Here is an 18,769-nt window from a genome sequence, read left to right on the forward strand (position 1 = left end):
AAATCTTAGGGCAAATGATACAAATCTTGATCCTCATTAAGAAGATTTAAAAAAAATAACAAATCTGGCGAGGCATGGTACCTCACGTCTGTAATCTCAGCACTTTGGGAAGCCGAGGCAGGTGGATCACCTGAGGTCAGGAGTTTGAGACCAGCCTGACCAACATGGTGAAACTCTGGCTCTACTAAAAATACAAAAATTAACCAGGCGTGGTGGTGTGCGCTTATAATCTCAGCTACTCAGGAGGCAGAGACAGGAGAATCACTTGAACCCTGGAGGTGAAGGTTGCAGTGAGCCGAGATGGTGTCATAGCACTCCAGCCTGGGTGATCGAACAAGACTCCATCTCAAAAAAAAAAAAAAAAAAAAAAAAAAATCTGATTGAGTTTCTACAATAAGCACAGCAGATAAAGATGGGCAGTACCTCCACTGCCTTCTCACCAGCAGCAGAGTGGTCAAGAAAAAAGGCCACTGCAATTGAGTGGTGCTGGGGTTGTGGAATTATGTCCTTGGGCATCTGTGAGAGACTGCCAGAGGCAAAGTCAGGCCACCCGACAATGGAGCTTTTTACTTCCTTTTCCTAATGCTATAGTCTTAGAAGCAGAGGTTACTTTCAAAGAGAGGCGTGGGGACTTGCATTAGGATCACCAGAGGTTCTTGGTAAGAATGAAAAATCCTGGATCTCTCTTCCAGGCATCCTCAAGTGGAATTTCCAGCATCTGTATTTTGAGTAAGTCCCTTAAGTGATCTTAACCTACCTGAAACCTTGAGATCTGCTGTCCCACAGGCTCCCCACCCATCTATGGATGGCTGTGGTGAGAGTGAAGGGTGGGGAATATGCAAATGATCTGGGAGGAGGTTCTACAGAAGGTGAAGGATGGAGCAGGTGCAGGGGGCCATGTCCTATTAGGCCATTCCTGTGCACTCATTACAGGTAGAGAATGGTTATTTTTGGGTAGTGTTAATCAGTCTGTGGATGTTTTGCAAACCCTTCTAGTTATTGTTCCTGCTTGGCCTGACCTTTCCTGAGGCTATTGTCCACCTTGATTCTGTAGGGCCCTTTGGGCTGAGAACTTCAAAAACCAGAGATTATTCTCCACATTCTCCAACTTTCATGTGGTAGATTCCAGAACAACCTCAAGCCACTGAATCCTGCTGGTTACAAACGTAGGCTCAGGCCGGGCACAGTGGCTCACACCTGTAATCCTAACACTTTGGGAGGCCGAGGTGGGTGGATCACTTGAGGTCAGATGTTCGAGACCAGCCTGGCCAATATGGTGAAACCCCGACTCTACTAAAAATACAAAAATTACCTTGAAATCACTTGAACCCAGGAGGTGGAGGTTGCAGTGAGCCCAGATCATACCACTGCATTCCAGCCTGGGTGACAGAGCAACACTTCATCTCAAAAAAAAAAAAAGGAAGAAGAAGGTAGGCTCTAGGATCTACACATTAGAAGGCTGTGTGTCTTTGGACATTTCCTTGTGCCTCAGTTTTTCTCATCTGCACAGTGGGTTCACCTCTAAGAGTCAGCTCATGGGTACCAAATGAGATAACCTATTCAGAGCTTTCAGCACGGGCCTGGAACAGAATTAATGCATGGTAAATATTAGCTCAAATGCACAACTGGTCAACAATGCAGGGTACCCATGCACACCCAGCTGACACAGAGTCACCATGCGGGGAGGGAAGAAAAGAAAGACAAGCTTATTCATGGGGAAGCAGATGATGCTCTGCAGAGAATTCAAAGAGCTGTGCATGGTTGTGTGGGAGGCGAGGAGGTGGAGGAAGCGGGGGGCGCTGCTCAGAGCCCCTGCTTCTGCTGGGGCAGAAATCATGTGTGACGAGAAAGAAAAAGAAAAGAAGGGAAGTGACAAACTGACTGTACGTGTGTCTGTCATCGTGGATGAGCAATAAAGATGATAAGAATCCTCAAGACAAGGCTGCATCATTAGATGAGGAATAAAAAAGCTTATTATTAGGGGAAATTGATGCTCTGTGGAACCAGAGCTTTTAGAACAAAGAGCATCAAACTGACATTTTTCCAGGCTGGGGAAGTGTTATTTCATTCATGATCAGTTACAGGCATTAGGATCTGTTGCTTTCTTTTGTTTTATTGTTCTGTTGCCCCATTTTCTCCACCAGGCCCCAGGCTGAACCCTGAGGGGAGTCTATGAAAAAGCTCTTGAAGGAAGGCATTGGGAAGGGAAAGTCCTCCTTGTCACAGAGGGCAATTTGTATTTTGAAGAGTTTCATTTGAATTGCCTAGAAAATACTTCAGAGACAGATCTATATAATCTCATCATAAATTCAACCTTATACTTTTCAAAGGAGGCAAAGAAGGATATAGACATAGCTATCAGGCCTGGGTTCAAACAAGGTTCAAATTAAGGTGACTTCCTATATTAACTTGAGGAAATCACTGAACCCTCAAAACCTTAGTCTCTCAATCTGTAAAGTAAAATTGAGATTATGACCAACCTTAGAGGGTCATTGTGAGATAGGGAACAAGCATGAATGGTGGTCTAGAGCAAGCCCTTGACCACTGTCATCACCTTTTTTGTCATTGTCATTGTTGTCACACAGCTAAGAGGTTATAGGAGCAAGCGTGGAAACTAACTTAAAATCAAGAAGCTCCCTGACTTAAAATCATAGCCACATACAGAAAACATACAAATCATGCATTTCAACCCTAATAACAATGGGAGCCATTGCCAGATTTATTTCCTAAGCATCTTTTTTTTTTTTTTTGAAAAGCAGTTATTTCCAGGGTGGGAAACCTCCAGAATCCACATCTCCTTTTAAGATACAAAACAGCATTATGTCAAGATGGACACGTTCTCCACAGTATTTGCCTGTTACTCCCACTCGCCCCCCGAGATTAATTTGCAAGTCTTCTTTCTTCCCCAAAGTGGATTCCAAAGGCACACACGGCTCAGAAAGGAAAGCAATTCTTGTTCTTCTTTCTCAGGCTTTCCTGTGTTTTAGACCCAAATATATGAACTTTCATGTTCTGGTCTCCCCACAGTTGGAGATCAGTGTAAGGACATTTCAGAAATAGAAGAGGTGTGAGAATGAGAGTAAGTGTGCAGAATATAGACAAGGACCATGATCCAAAAAAAGAAAACACACCCTCCCACTCACTGAATCATTCTGTAAACACCATCAGAATGTCTGCTGAGTGCCAGGTCCTGTGCTCAGTGCTGGACAACAAGGAGAAGAGAATGCAGACCTTCATCTAGAAGTTCACAGCCTGGAAGACAGTGAGGAATGACCCCAGAGGTGTGGAGCAGGGAGCAGCACCTGTCACATCCTCAAGATTGTCCCACTGACAGCTTCTAATGAGATTATTAGGTTCAGGTGCCATGGACTAGCCTCAAGAGTAGGTGGTGAACATCCAGGAATAACCCAAATACCTCCCCACCACTCACCTGTCTCCATGGCTGAACTCTGTTTTGTTTTGTTCTGTTTTGAGATGGAGTCTCACTTTGTCACCAGGCTGGAGGGCAGTAGTGCAATCTTGGCTCACTGCAACCTCCGCCTCCTGGGTTCAAGTGATTCTCCTGCCTCAGCCTCCCAAGTAGCTGGGACTACAGGTGCCCACCACCATGCACAGCTAATTTTTGTATTTCTAGTAGAGACGGGGCTTCACCATGTTGGCCAGGATGGTCTTGATCTCCTGACCTCGTGATCTGCCCACCTCGGCCTCCCAAAGTGGTGGGATTATAGGCGTGAGCCACTGTGCTCGGCCGGCTGAACTCATTAGTCCTCATTACTTCAGAAGAAGGGAATGCCAGTTCCCGTGATTGCCACTTTTCAGTTGAATGCTGGTATTCCTAGAAGACCTCGTTATTAGCCATGACAAACTCCCTTTCCCTAACTCCTTTAACAGAACTTTACAACTTACAAAACATTTTCATGTTTATGATCTGGTAGTAGGGCAGGCAATTTCATTCCCACTTTACGGAGGAGGAAGCTAAATAATTAGCCTGTGGTCTCACAGCTCAAAGGCAAAATAGCTGGGAGGTGAACGGGGTCTGTTGACTCCAAGTCTACAGCTCAGCAAAGCCAGCCAAAGATCATTGCTATCCCCTAGTAACTTAGACGTAAGTTACTCTTTCCTCTTAAAAGTAAATATTTTGTAGTTCCACAGAAGGAAGGACTGAGAGTTCTCACAACCTTCGATACTCACAGCAGAGACTGCCCAGTCCTGTGGGCATGGGGAAAGGTCAAAGTGTCCAGGAAAAGCTGGTAATTATGACCAGTTCCTGGGTGCTTCCCATATGCCCAGCACTGTGCTGCAAGCAGGCTTCAGCTGTGTCACCTGAATGTCCCTGACTTCACCTGCTCCCACCTGTGTAACTGTAGTCCCTCCCACCCCATTACTTAGGGATTTCCCCCCATCTAGAGGAAGAAGCTCAGGAACAAGCCCCCTCATGCTCTCCATTAATATTTACTGCCCATTTACAAGTCCTTATGGGAATTACCTTGGCATCCCTGTGATACAATGGCCTCCATTAAAACACTACCTTCGTGCCTGGGACCTCACACCCTGGAAAAGCCAAACAGACTTGGTTCCCTTCTGTGCTTAGTGCATGCCTAGTGCTGTGTGTGAGCCCCTCCCCAAATGCTGCATTGTATTTTGTCCACTTGGACTCTGAGCTACTAAGTTTCCCGCATCACCTGGGGAGAACAGATCCTCCAGTTTACGGCTTCTGCTTCACAGGGACTGAGCATCTGTTCTTGCGGTCAAGTCGGGGCAGACTCCTCATTAGAGCTTGCACTGTCCCTGTCTCCTCATTTCTTCCCCCAGGTCCCACTCCAAATCCTCCTCCTTTCTCCTTCAGTCCAAAGTCACATAGACAAATCAGGGAAAGTGGAGAATCTGGACCCCCAAAACCAACCGAACATTGCTGGATAATTCTGGAAAAGTGACAGCCCTGGGAGGGCATGCAGAAGAGGATCCCAATGAGGAACTCTTAAAAATCCTCCATAGAAACCACAATTGTTATTTATGGAGACCTTGCATGCATATCTAATTAACCCTCACAAGAACGCTGTGATGCAAGTAGCCTTACTTCTTTCAATTTACATAAGAAAATGGTAGCCTCATTCTCCAAGCTAACAAGTGAGGAGATGACCCCAGCCCCTCCATTCTTAACCCCAGTGCAATGCTGAGTCCCACTCCCTGAGTTGCAAGGGTTTGCAGATCCAGGTGGTATTTCTCGCGAATCAATTGCTCGGAGAAACAATGACAAAGAAGGGTTTAAGTATTGGGTAGGCGGGTGGGTAGGAGGGAGGAGGAGAAGCTGTTAATTTTAGATGTGTAATTCAGACTGATCATTAGGTGACAGAGGTGTCACCGTGCCCCTTATCTTTGTCATCCGCCTTCTAAAATAAGGGTCAGGGCCTGTGATTTCCTCAGGGGGAAGATCCATCCTTTGCATGCTTAAAACCCCTGGGGAGGGCAGGACCAAAGAAGACAACAGAGAAGAAGACTCTGGGCTGTGGAAGTCACTTGTTTTCTGCCCCAACCTCCCCAAAACATGTCCTCAACACATAGTACAGGGTCTTGTGAGGTAGGAGAATGTTCCAGAAATTTGTTTTTTAGTCTGTTCTGGGCTGACAAAACTACATTGAAACCGAGGCACCCAGGGCCCTGATTCCTGTACTTGGGTCACTTGGATGTGCGGCAGCGATGACTTGTGGATCCTAACCCCCTAGAACACTGAGTCTCTCCTCCTCACTGTTTAGAGTAGTGCTACAAAAATTGAAAATCAAGCAATTATTGATGTAGTCAAAATAAGGACCCTAAAATTAGAATTGCAGCCGGGTGGGGGTGTCTACACTATTACTCCTGCTCCAAAATATAAAAGTGATAGTAACTCACATCTGCCTGGTGTTTACTGTTGCCAGGCACTGTCCTCAACGTGTGGTCCTGGATCCACATCAGCATCGCCTGAAAGCTAGTTAGAGATGCATAGGCCCTGCCCAGATTGAACTAGAAACCGTGGGGATGGGCCCAGCAATCTGTGTCTTAACCAGACCTTCAGGTGATTCTGATGCTCTCTAAAGTTTGAGCACCCTTGCCTTACTTCACTGAATCCTCACAATGACTGTGGAAGGTATGGAAATTATTGGGCATTATTGTTTTCATTTTATAGAGAAGGAACCTGAGTCTCAAAAATATTGAGTGATGGTCTGAAATGAGTACTTATACCAGGATTGGAATGCAGGTCATTCTGCCACTCAAGTTCCCTCTTCCCCAAACATGTTTCCTTACTGATGAAAACCAAGCATGACAGAGGGTGGGGGTGACAAACAATCGTTCCTATGGAAACCAGAAAAGGTAGCTTCAGTTCCAGGTCAGGAAAGACATGCTGAACATCAGTTACAGGTTAGTCACCATGTGCTATGGTCTGAATGTTTCTGTCTCCTTAAAACTGATATGTAGCAATACTAACCCCCAAGGTGATGTTATTAGGAGGCAGGGCCTTTGGGAAGCCATTAGGCCATGAGGGCAGAGACCTTATAAAAAAGGCCCAAGAAAAACCCTTCACCTTTCTCATCATGTGAGGACACAAGGTAAAGATGCCATCTATGAACCAGAGAGCAGGCCCTCACCAGACACCAAATCTGTCAGCCCACTGATCTTGGACTTCCCAGCCTCCAGAACTATGAGCAATAAATTTCTGTTGTTTATAAGCCACCCAGTGTTGGGGATTTGTTATAGCATCCCAAACAGACTAAGACACTAAACATAAATATCTTATCTCATTTAATTCTCAACAAAAACCCATGTCAGGTAGGCATTCTGAAATCACATATCAGGTAGGTAAGCAATTTTTCTAAGCTGTCAACACTCAGTAAGTTGCAGGGAAGTATTTAAATCCTGTTTAGTCTGTCTTTAAAGACCTCACAGCCTCTCTGGGGCACACTTACACATTCATTAGATATATATGTGCTCATGGCAAAAAGGCCAGGAAACCAAGGGTGAATGCACATGTAGCAGCAAATGAGGTCACCCTGCTCCAGGGCTGAAAATCCACCTCTACAGCAATTGTGGGACTTTGACAGCATCACCAGTCACCCCAGTCTGCTCCACCCTCCCCTCCTTCCTTCCCTCTTGAAAAACCACTGACTTTTCCCTTTCTCCCTGTGAGATAAAGGAAGACAAGTTCTTACCAAACTGAACACGTTGATTCAATTCCTATTAACTGAGTATTCACCCAACTTTCCGGAGAAGCAAAGCCCTTAGTGGGTAATGATGCCAGGAATGGGATGCATTGCCAGTTGGAGACCTAGCAACATTCAATGAGGATTATAATAATGTTATGAATGGCTTTAACCAGCTCCTCACCCAAAATACATACACACCCTTGAAACTGGCTTGGGATTTACCAGGAACCTTCCAAATCAATAGCTTAATTAACCCACAAGCTGTGTATGACATGTCATGAAACATCTCTAAAACCAAGTAGCAAAGGAAAGTACAAAACTTAAATCCATGTTTGTATTAAGTTTCCCAGCCATCATTTTGTAGATTTTATTTTTTTAAATAAGTTGCTATTTATTTTCACTTAAAGGCATGGTATTTTTAAATCTTAATTTATAGATTCAAGGAGACATAAAATGATAAATGAAAAACTCTGGGTGAAAACATTTGTTGTCAAAAATATATAAACAGCCCCCAAATCTAAAGGGAATCTCTGTCACTCCCTAAGTTACAGCTTGCCATTGGCTCTCTCAGTTGCTTTTTGGATGGAGCCCAGGCATCCCAGACTGCTTTGCCAAGCATTTTGTGATCATGCGGCTGCCCATACTCCAGCCCCAAAGCCTGACACTCCTGCCACACACCCTCTGCCCAGGTTAGGCAGAGTACAGGCATTTCCCAGAAAGTCCTGGGTCCTCCCACCCTTTGTGTCTCTGTATCTGTTTGGCTCTCAGCCTGGAATATCCCCTCCCTTTCTTTACCAAGCTGACTCCTCCTCATCTCTTCTGCTCCTGCTCATCTCTCAAACCTCAGCCAGGTGCCACCTCTTCAGGAAAGTCTTCCCTCATGTCCAGTGGGGATTTCCAAGGCACCATGTGCTGACCGTCATTACATTATTTTTAACACTGGTTCATGATGGTCTATTTACTTCTGTGTCACCTCCTAAGCTGGGAGCTCCCTGAAGGTATTTCAGTGTCATCAGGCTTAGCACAATGCCAGGCACATAGTAAGAACTCACAACATCGTTGTTGAATGAATGAGTGAATGAATCAAAGAATGAATAGTTATCACCTAGGTATTTATTTTCCCCACAGGCTCCAGGTATACCATGGAAATGAGAGATGTAATTTTTCTCTCTCAACACCCTTAAAAAGCTGTTTCTACACCCAGGGACTCATATGGTCCAGTATAGCCAGAAGCATTTCAAGGCTACAGAAACCTTAGTCTAAAACATAGTCTAGCTGAGCCCAGAAGACTGGTAACAAAACCAAAGCTAGGCCAAACTCCCAGAACTAGCCCTAGTCTGTAATGGTCTGGAAACTCACTTTAGTTACGACCTTCCTAATGTAAGGCCAGTGTAAGTATGTCCCATGTACCAGTGGGGTTTGCAATTATAAAAGCGGTGCAAGCATTGCAGGTCCTTCAAACATAAAGCAATGTATAAAATAGACAGTTCTCAAAAGGTGGCCCTGGATCACCACATCAGTGCCACCCGGAAACTAGTTGAAAATGCATAAGCCCCACTCAATCTCAAATTTTAGAATGCATCAGAATCACCTGAAGTACTTGGGGAAACACAGATTGCTGGTGCCATCTCCAGGGTTTCTGATTCAATAAGTCTGGATGGGGCCTATGCACTTCTAACTGGTTTCCAGGTACACTGATATGGTGGTCCGGGACTACACTTGAGAACTGTCTACTTTACATATAATAAGTGTCATACCCTGATATTGGCCTATAATATGATTCTCCAGAGATAGCCCTTGCTAAGAGTATTTTAGGGGGTGATAAGCAATGAGCCTGCAAGAAAAAATGCAGCTAACAGATGACTGTATGCAATATATTTCTAAAGTATTTTTATTTGTTGTCTCGAAATGAAAATCAAGCGGTTTCACATGACTGGAATACTTTCATGGAGCTCCCAGCTTTGGAAGTGACAGAGAAGTAAATAGATGCCACAAAACAGCATAAAAAGTACTCTGACTCCCAGCTTTTCTTGGAAAATCCAAAGACCTGCCACCAGGTTAGCAATGATTTGCTGAAATTGAGTGGTGCTAGTTGCTTAATATGAGGCATGCTCTCAAGGTTGTCACAGTCCCACTCACTAAGCCAAAATCTGATTCCCTGCATGCACTTAAGTTTCTGTATCACTGGTATGTATCCTTACAAAATCCTTCTATAATGTTATGAGTATTATGAGCACTGCTTACCATCTTCTTTTTTCCATTATATCCATATCGATATATACTAATTTACCTAGGTATTCCTCTGTATGATTACCTTATAGTATATATAACCAATCCCTTCCTGGTGGATATTTAAGTTAGTGCTATTTATTCTCCATTACAAACAACAAAACAGTGAATGTCCTTGTATATATCCCTTTGCATACTTTGTGAGCGTTTCTCTTGAATGAACTTCTAGATGTAGAATTACTGAGTGAAATGGAATGATACTTACAATTTTGATAGATAATGCCAAAATGCTGAAGTTAGTTAGGATACAAGCCATGTTTAGTACCAAGCAGGGGGCAAGGAATGGTTGAGTTTGGAGAGTGGCATGGAGAGATGAACTGCCCATGATCTGAGCCTCTTCTTCAGCAACCACACTCCTGTACTCCTAGTGTACCTACAGTTGATTGCCACAAAGGCAATATCTCAAATGGCAGAGCTAGATCTAGCAAGGCAAATCTATTTTAGAATCCTAGTTGAACAGTTAATTAATCATAATAAATTGAGCATAAAAACGAAATGAGATAATTCTGGTTATATTACAAAAGTCTCCATTTGTTACTGAAAACCAAAGGGATTTTTATCGAAATGTTTATGTCTGGTTTGTTGACATTTCTCTCACTATTTTATCTCAATAATAATACTAATTCCCCCTATGCTCTCTCCCTTTCTGTTTCAGGCTTATCTCCCTTTGTGTTTCTTGGAGATTAACCTGATGTTACTCTGAGAAGGCTCTGTATGTTGCCAAGTTTTGAACTCTACTGAACGGAACCAAAAATAAAAGTCTAAGACCAAAGTTGCAATAAAGTATTGACGTTTTTATTTAATAAATGTGGCAAATGGGATGACACGAAGATTAAGAGCACAGCCTGCCTGAGTGTAAGTTCCGAGTTCCTCAAGCACTGGCTGGGATAATACATAACCTCTCTCACCCTCTGTTTCCTCATCTGTAAGATGGGGGTAATTAAAGGGCTATGGTTCTTTGCACAGAATCTTGCACAAAACAATGTTAATTGTTATTATTTATTCTAGCACAGTAGCCAATCCCACCCCCTCTTAAAAGTTTTACAGGGTGTAGCAATGCCCAGACCACATAAACCTTCAGGCAGCCATTCTGTGAGTTGACAGTCATGAAATGGCCAAATCAGAATAAATAACTGCTTCAGGAAGAGAAGCCAGCAGTTGGGCTCAATTTTAAACTGTGCTTTAGATGCAACACAATAGATAAGAGGCCTGATAAGGAGAAAATGGCTAACCTTTACTGAGCACTTACTCCTGTCACACTCTTTGGAGCATTTACAAGCATCTTCTCAGTGTGTGCTCACAATAATCCTATGGAGCAAGTGCTATTATTACCATTCCGGTCTCACAGATGAGAAAACCAAGCACAGCATGTTTAAGTAATTTGCTGTAGGTCACACTCTTATTTAATAAGATGGCACCAGCCATCTGACTCCAGAGTGTATGTTCATAACTACCATAAGTTAGAAATGATGCCAGAAAAAGATAAACTATAGCTAAAACAGAAAGAATTCAGATATTGTCAATTAATATCTATATCTTTTGAGCACTTTCTATGGACCAGACATTGTTTTACCAACATGTATTAGGAAATTTATTCCTTATGACAAGCCTGGGAAGTACTTGTTACTGATTGCATTTTTATGGATGGGGCCTAGAGCTTTTGAACACAAAGGGTCACAGAGCTGTTACTGGTGAAGCTAAGTTTCTAAAGCATGTCTCCAGATTCCAAGTCGCAAGCTTTCTCCCTAGGAATGCAATAAGAATTCCAAACACAAATGAGTCATCCTCATCACTCAGCAAATATTTTTTAAGCACCTACTTGTGTCAGACACAAATTAATGACACAGACATGGTTCCTGCACCATGGGATGTAGATTGTGTGAAAGAGAGACACAATTTATAAGAACAAGTGAGTAAATAATGAATATCATATAACTAATACATAATTAACACCATCACATGGCACCCTAAAAAATGTCTAATTGCTTTGACAGATGTTATTTACAGTCAGTTATAGAAAATCATTCTAATTCTTTTTTAATAAGGGAAAAAAATTTGTTTCTCCTGTATTTCACATTATCCTGGAAGGCCTACTCATAAAAAGAGACATCTTGCACTAATCAGAGCACTTGGGGAATTACTGAATTTTGCAACTTTCTCACTTGTGTGACAAAAAAAAAACAAGATTGTGGTTACCCAATTGTCTGAGCAAACTGTCAGCTTTTGCACAGACTTGCCCTGAGTTTAATAAGAATTAAGGTTGCATCCTGCTCCTGGTTTTGAATCAAAACATTTACTGATTTCATCAGAAAGGAAACAGTGAAAGAAAGGGAGAAAGACAGGTTAGGAGTGAAATGATTTATCACTTACTTTTCTTTAGTAAGGCACAGTATCTGTCATGGATTAACGTCTAATTACAGCAGTTTCAGAGCTGTGAAGTTTATTATTTTTTTAATGGCTATCTTATCAACTGTAATGCATAAGCTATTAGGGTTATAGGATTTAACTCCCCCTGTTGCAGATGTTTTAGTAAATCTGTAATGATTTAAGCATTTTTAATATCTTTTAAAAATGTATTACACTTTAATCCATCTTGAATTAATTTTTGTATAAGGCGTAAGGAAGGGATCCAGTTTCAGCTTTCTACATATGGCTAGCCAGTTTTCCCAGTACCATTTATTAAATAGGGAATTGTTTCCCCATTTCTTGTCTTTGTCAGGTTTGTCAAAGATCAGATGGTTTTAGAAATGCGGCATTATTTCTGAGGGCTCTGTTCTGTTCCATTGGTCTATATCTCTGTGTTGGTACCAGTACCATGCTGTTTTGGTTACTGTAGCCTTGTAGTATAGTTTGAAGTCAGGTAGTGTGATGCCTCCAGCTTTGTTCTTTTGGCTTACGATTGACTTGGCAATGCAGGCTCTTTTTTGGTTCCATATGAACTTCAAAGTAGTTTTTAGCAATTCTGTGAAGAAAGTCATTGGTAGCTTGATGGGGATGCCATTGAATCTATAAATTACCTTGGGCAGTATGGCCATTTTCACAATATTGATTCTTCCTACCCATGAGCATGGAATATTCTTCCATTTGTTTGTATCCTCTTTTATTTCCTTGAGCAGTGGTTTGTAGTTCTCATTGAAGAGGTCCTTCACATCCCTTGTAAGTTGGATTCCTAGGTATTTTATTCTCTTTGAAGCAATTGTGAGTGGGAGTTCACTCATGATTTAGCTCTCTGTTTGTCTGTTATTGGTGTATAAGAATGCTTGTGATTTTTGCACATTGATTTCGTATCCCAAGACTTTGCTGAAGTTGCCTATCAGCTTAAGGAGATTTTGAGCTGAGACGATGGGGTTTTCTACATATACAATCATGTCATCTGCAAACAGGGACAATTTGACTTCCTCTTTTCCTAATTGAATACCCTTTATTTCCTTCTCCTGCCTAATTGCCCTGGCGAGAACTTTCAACACTATGTTGAATAGGAGTGGTGAGAGAGGGCATCCCTGTCTTGTGCCAGTTTTCAAAGGGAATGCTTCCTGTTTTTGCCCATTCAGTATGATATTGGCTGTGGGTTTGTCATAAATAGCTCTTATTATTTTGAGATATGTCCCATCAATAACTAATTTATTGAGAGTTTTTAGCATGAAGCGTTGTTGAATTGTGTCAAAGGCCTTTTCTGCATCTATTGAGATAATCATATGGTTTTTGTCATTGGTTCTGTTTATATGCTGGATTACGTTTATTGATTTGCGTATGTTGAACCAGCCTTGCATCCCAGGGATGAAGCCCGCTTGATCATGGTAGATAAGCTTTTTGATGTGCTGTTGGATTCGGTTTGGCAGTATTTTATTGAGGATTTTTGCATTGATGTTCATCAGGGATATTGGTCTAAAATTCTCTTTTTTTGTTGTGTCTCTGCCAGGCTTTGGTATCAGGATGATGCTGGCCTCATAAAATGAGTTAGGGAGGATTCCCTCTTAAATGTTAGACCTAAAACCATAAACACCCTAGAAGAAAACCTAGGCAATAACATTCAGGACATAGGCATGGGGAAGCACTTCATGTCTAAAACACCAAAAGCAATGGCAACAAAAGCCAAAATTGACAAATGGGATCTAACTAAACTAAAGAGCTTCTGCACAGCAAAAGAAACTACCATCAGAGTAAACAGGCAACCTACAGAATGGGAGAAAATTTTTGCAATCTACTCATCTGACAAAGGGCTAATATCCAGAATCTACAATGAACTCAAACAAATTTACAAGAAAAAAACAAACAACCCCATCAAAAAGTGGGCAAAGGATATGAACAGACACTTCTCAAAAGAAGACATTTATGCAGCCAACAGACACATGAAAAAATGCTCATCATCACTGGCCATCAGAGAAATGCAAATCAAAACCACAATGAGATACCATCTCACACCAGTTAGAATGGCAATCATTAAAAAGTCAGGAAACAACAGGTGCTGGAGAGGATGTGGACAAATAGGAACACTTTTACACTGTTGGTGAGACTGTAAACTAGTTCAACCACTGTGGAAGTCAGTGTGGCGATTCCTCAGGGATCTAGAACTAGAAATACCATTTGACCCAGCAATCCCATTACTGGGTATATACCCAAAGGATTATAAATCATGCTGCTATAAAGACACATGCACACGTATGTTTATTGCGGCACTATTCACAATAGCAAAGACTTGGAACCAAGTCAAATGTCCAAAAATGATAGACTGGATTAAGAAAATGTGGCACATATACACTGTGGAATACTATGCAGCCATAAACAATGATGAGTTCATGTCCTTTGTAGGACACGGATGAAGCTGGAAACCATCATTCTTAGCAAACTATCGCAAGGACAAAAAACCAAACACCACATGTTCTCACTCATAGGTGGGAATTGAACAATGAGAACACATGGACACAGGAAGGGGAACATCACACACCAGGGCCTGTTGTGGGGTGGGGGGAGGGGGGAAGGATAGCATTAGGAGATATACCTAGTGTTAAATGACAAGTTAATGGGTGCAGCACACCAACATGGCACATGTATACATATATAACTAACCTGCACATGTTGTGCACATGTACCCTAAAACTTAAAGTATAATAAAAAAAAAGTATTACACTAGAATATACATTCATTATAGAACAATTACAAACATACATGAGCAAAATTTTTAAAAATAAAAATCAACTAATAAGCCCAGTGGCTAGAAATAACCATTGCTAACATTTTGGCATGCATTCTCCTAGTCTTTATATTATATATATGTATATGTGTGTATCATTTTTAAATAACCTGAACTCATATAACTTAAGTTTCAATATTAATTGTGAATGATCCTTCACATCATTAAATATGCATCTCCTTATCATTTTTAATAGTTGTATAATATTCCCCCCTATATATATATATATATATATATATCACCATTTATTTACCCACTCCCCTATTTTTGGACATCAGGCTGTTTAACTTTTCACTTTTATAAGTAATGCTATAAGGAACACACTTGGATACATATCTGTTATGTTACATAAATTTATAGAAGTGGTATTTTAGGATCAAAAGGTGAGAAGTGAGACCATATTTTTAAGACTTTAGACTTAAACTTTTTTTTACTTTTCATTTTGAAATAATTACAGACTCATAAGACATTGCAAAAATGTTACAGAGAAGTCCATTGTACCCGTCACACAACTTCCCCCAATCATAAGTTTTCATATAACCATAATAGATTATAAAAACTAGGAAACTGGCTTTGGCACAATACAATTAACTAGAATACAGTTACAGTTTTACCAATTACTTGGATTTTACCAATTACTTGGATTTTACCAGCAGAATTATTTTCTAGTAATAATAGAATGGAAAGATGCATTCTTACTTTCCTACTTTCTCCTCTCACAAATCTGCCTTTAGAACTTCCTTCTAATCTGTAGAGGAAAGAATACAAACATGCTTGGTAGACTATTCTTTTTTATTGACAATCAAGAGGAAGAAATGCACTTAAGAATCTCTCACCAGATGTAGAGTGGGTAAATCCCCATTTATGGCACAGAAATGGGGAGATTTCTGTCTTTTGGTTCTTCACAATCACTTCCGTTTCTTTATGATACACTAGATCAGAGTCTCCTATAGCCTGGGGTACCCTAACCCAAAAGGAATAACACTGAATCACACCAGGAGAAAGTTATTCTCTTTTCATTTTTCCTTCACTTTTCTGATAACACCAAGGAGAAAGCCTCAGTTTTGGGCTAGTCTTTATTTATTTATTTATTTATTATTTAAAAACAATTTTTTTTGAGACAGAGTCTTGCTTTGTCACCCAGGCTGGAGTGCAGTGGTGCAATCTCAGCTCACTGCAGCCTCTGCCTCCCAGATTCAACTGATTCTCCTGCCTCAGCCTCCCAAGTAGCTGGGATTACAGGCATGTGCCACCACACCCAGCTAATCTTTGTATTTTTAGTAGAGATGAGGTTTTGCCACGTTGCCCAGGCTGGTCTCAAACTCCCGGCCTCAAGTGATTCGCCCACCTCGGCCTCCCAAAGTGCTAGGATTATAAGCATGAGCCACTACTCTCTTTTTAACACAAATTGCTCAGGTCTCAAGTTCAGATCTAGGCAGGCAATAGCATTTAACTGGGATTCAGTGATATTTTATTATTTTATTCAAATGTGCCTTTACTTTCACCTTCAAATTGCAGCAAATGAAACTGGTTTCCCATTTATAGTAGTATTTTTTAAATTTCCCTTTAAAATAAATTATTTCAATTAAAAACTGATTCGACATTTTAAAAAAGTACATGATTATGGCAAAAGGCATAAAGATAAAATGCAAATGATGGAGGTTAGGGATACATTGTGTAAGAGCATTTTGATCAATAAAGAACTGAGCAATCACATGGCCTAGCATGTTTTTCTTTGGATTAGTCTGCGTTAGAATGAGAACCATCTGGCATCTGGTTCTTTTATGAGATCTACTTACAGAAAAAGAAGAAAGAAGATAAGAAGCCTACATCTATTAAGCACTATTATATACATCATCTCAACTGACTCTTCAGAACATCTCAATGAAGTAGGTGCTACTAGCATCCTCACTTTATCCATGAGGAATCCAAGGAACAGAGGAAGAGAGTAATTCGCCTAAGTGATCTATCTGTCTATCTAGCAACTGGCAGAGCTGAGATTCAAACCGGGTCTGTTAGACTCCAAAACCATAGGGCTTTTTGTCTGTTTGTTTTGTTTTGTTTTAGACAGGGTCTCACTTTGTCACCCAGGCTGGAGTGCAGTGGTGCGATCTCAGTTCACTGCAGCCTCAACCTCCTGGGCTCAAGTGATCCTCCCACCTCAGCCTCCCTAGTAGCTGGGACTATAGGCATGTGCCACCATACTCAGTTAATTTTTGTATTTTTTGTAGAGACAGGATTTTGCCATGTTGCCCAGGCTGGTCTTGAACCCCTGAACTCAAGCCATCCGCCTGCCTTAGCCTCCCAAAGCGCTGGAATTACAGGCATGAGCCACTGCACCTGGCCCAAAACCATGCTCTTGACTGCTGGTTCCAACTGTTTCCTATTAAATTTAAGAACAATAAGTCACCTCCAGAAAATGTATAATGCCTCTTTGTCCTGGCCAGCAGTCTGGGTCACTTTACTGTGGGCCTGGTGATTGCATGAGAATATTTTAAAGTACACTCCTCACCTGCAAACATACCCTCAATTGGAGAGGAAATCTCACATCTGACTTCATCCTGGGTCTGTATCCTTTAAAGAAAGAGTGTTAATAGCCACTCAACCCTGTCAGTCTGATTTTCTTCACATTTCTGCTGTTGTCCTCCAGTCATTCCTCCTCTTGAATTGTCCCAAAGGTTTCTCAGTATCACTAGAAAAATCAAATCATATGAGCAAGGTCAACATCACAGAAACAGATAACATAGGTCTATTTAAATATTTAAAACATATCTAGATTTATACTAGGTACTAATCGAAGAGAGCAAAGATGTACAAAACATGGCCTTCAGCAACAAGGGTCCAGTGATGGTCAAGAGAGGTTTCATGACCCTGCAGCTCTAAAACTTTAGATTTCCAAATACCTCAACTCCTTTGATGGATTTAAGGAGTGCCTTACAAATGAGTAACTTTATGGCAGAGAGCCTGCGACCAAGTGGCTAAGAGCCAGTCAAATGAAAATAGTACACCTCTAAAATCATAATTCCAATAAGTAAATTTGATTGACAAAACTTACCTAAACACTTGTTTGTGATTTAATTTTTAATTGGAAAGAAACTGTCTTAGCCTGAGACAAAGGCTTGCTTCCTTGAAAGTGATTTATTTGGGAGCAGGAGTTAGGATAGAGGAGTGAAACGGAATGAGAGAAAGCTAGCACAAAGATGCATTATTGTGTTAGCCCCCTATGGATGAAAGGTACTCATCCCACAAGACCTTCTGAAGAACTTTATGACATCTCAAGACTGCCTTCCCAGAGGATAAAAGGGGAAAATGTATCCACAGACTTTCCATTAGTCAAAGACGGTCCACACTTCTGGATCATGTACATGTGTGTGTGAAGCAAGTTCTCATGTGTGTCCCATGCTGCAACATCAGAGAAGCTCCAAGGCAGTAGGCAAGAAGTATGTGGCTAGATCTTGAGGATAGACACTGCCAAGTAGAATCTCTGCATGTGGCCTGAATCTGGGAAAACTTCTTAGCTTAAATAAGAGGTGTGGTTGAGAACATTCAAAGTGACACTCAAGAGGTGTCTAATATAAAACCATTATCAACCATTTGGGGTACACCTGCTCAAACACAAATTTTTAAAAACATCATTCATTCATGTAGTCATCAATAAACCCATTCAACATTTATTGAGTATCAACCACATGCCAGCCACTGTGTTAGATACAGGGGAACAGAAGAGCAACAAGACACATAAGGTCCTTCCTCTCTTGGAGTTTACAGTCTATTTGCGGGAGTTGGGCATTAAATAAATCATTATAAAATAATTACTGAGTTACAGCTGTGATAGCTGTTATAAAGGAGAAGTGTAGGATGACAAACTTTCTACTCATGAAAATCAAAGAAGTCTTCCTGGAGGAACTGACATTTTTTAAAGCTCAAATTTGCAGAGAAGGGCATTAAAAAAGCAAAGCAGGGAGGAAGAGAGTAACTAGGAAGAGAGGAAGGGGAAGAGGGTGTGTTGAAGACAGAAAGAAGAGCATGAACAAATACTTGATGACAAAAACGCTATCCTAAGAGTGAAGAGAAACCCAGTGGGTCAAGAGTGTGCTGAGTGAGGGGGTGA

The 18,769-nt window shown here is 41.3% G+C and overlaps 1 protein-coding gene across 1 annotated transcript in view; it reads right to left on the minus strand.

Annotated features, from left to right (window-relative positions):
* Positions 1–17,346, minus strand: part of GRXCR2 (glutaredoxin and cysteine rich domain containing 2) — a 74,004-nt gene extending 56,658 nt beyond the window's left edge. Inside the window, exon 1 of the mRNA XM_017009708.2 lies at positions 17,171–17,346. Coding sequence (XP_016865197.1) covers positions 17,171–17,218 — 48 coding nt within the window. The 5' untranslated portion in view covers positions 17,219–17,346. The remainder of the gene's footprint in view (positions 1–17,170) is intronic.
* Positions 17,347–18,769: the final 1,423 nt, after the last annotated feature.

Source organism: Homo sapiens, chromosome 5 (assembly GCF_000001405.40).
Source record: "Homo sapiens chromosome 5, GRCh38.p14 Primary Assembly".
NCBI lineage: Eukaryota > Metazoa > Chordata > Mammalia > Primates > Hominidae > Homo > Homo sapiens.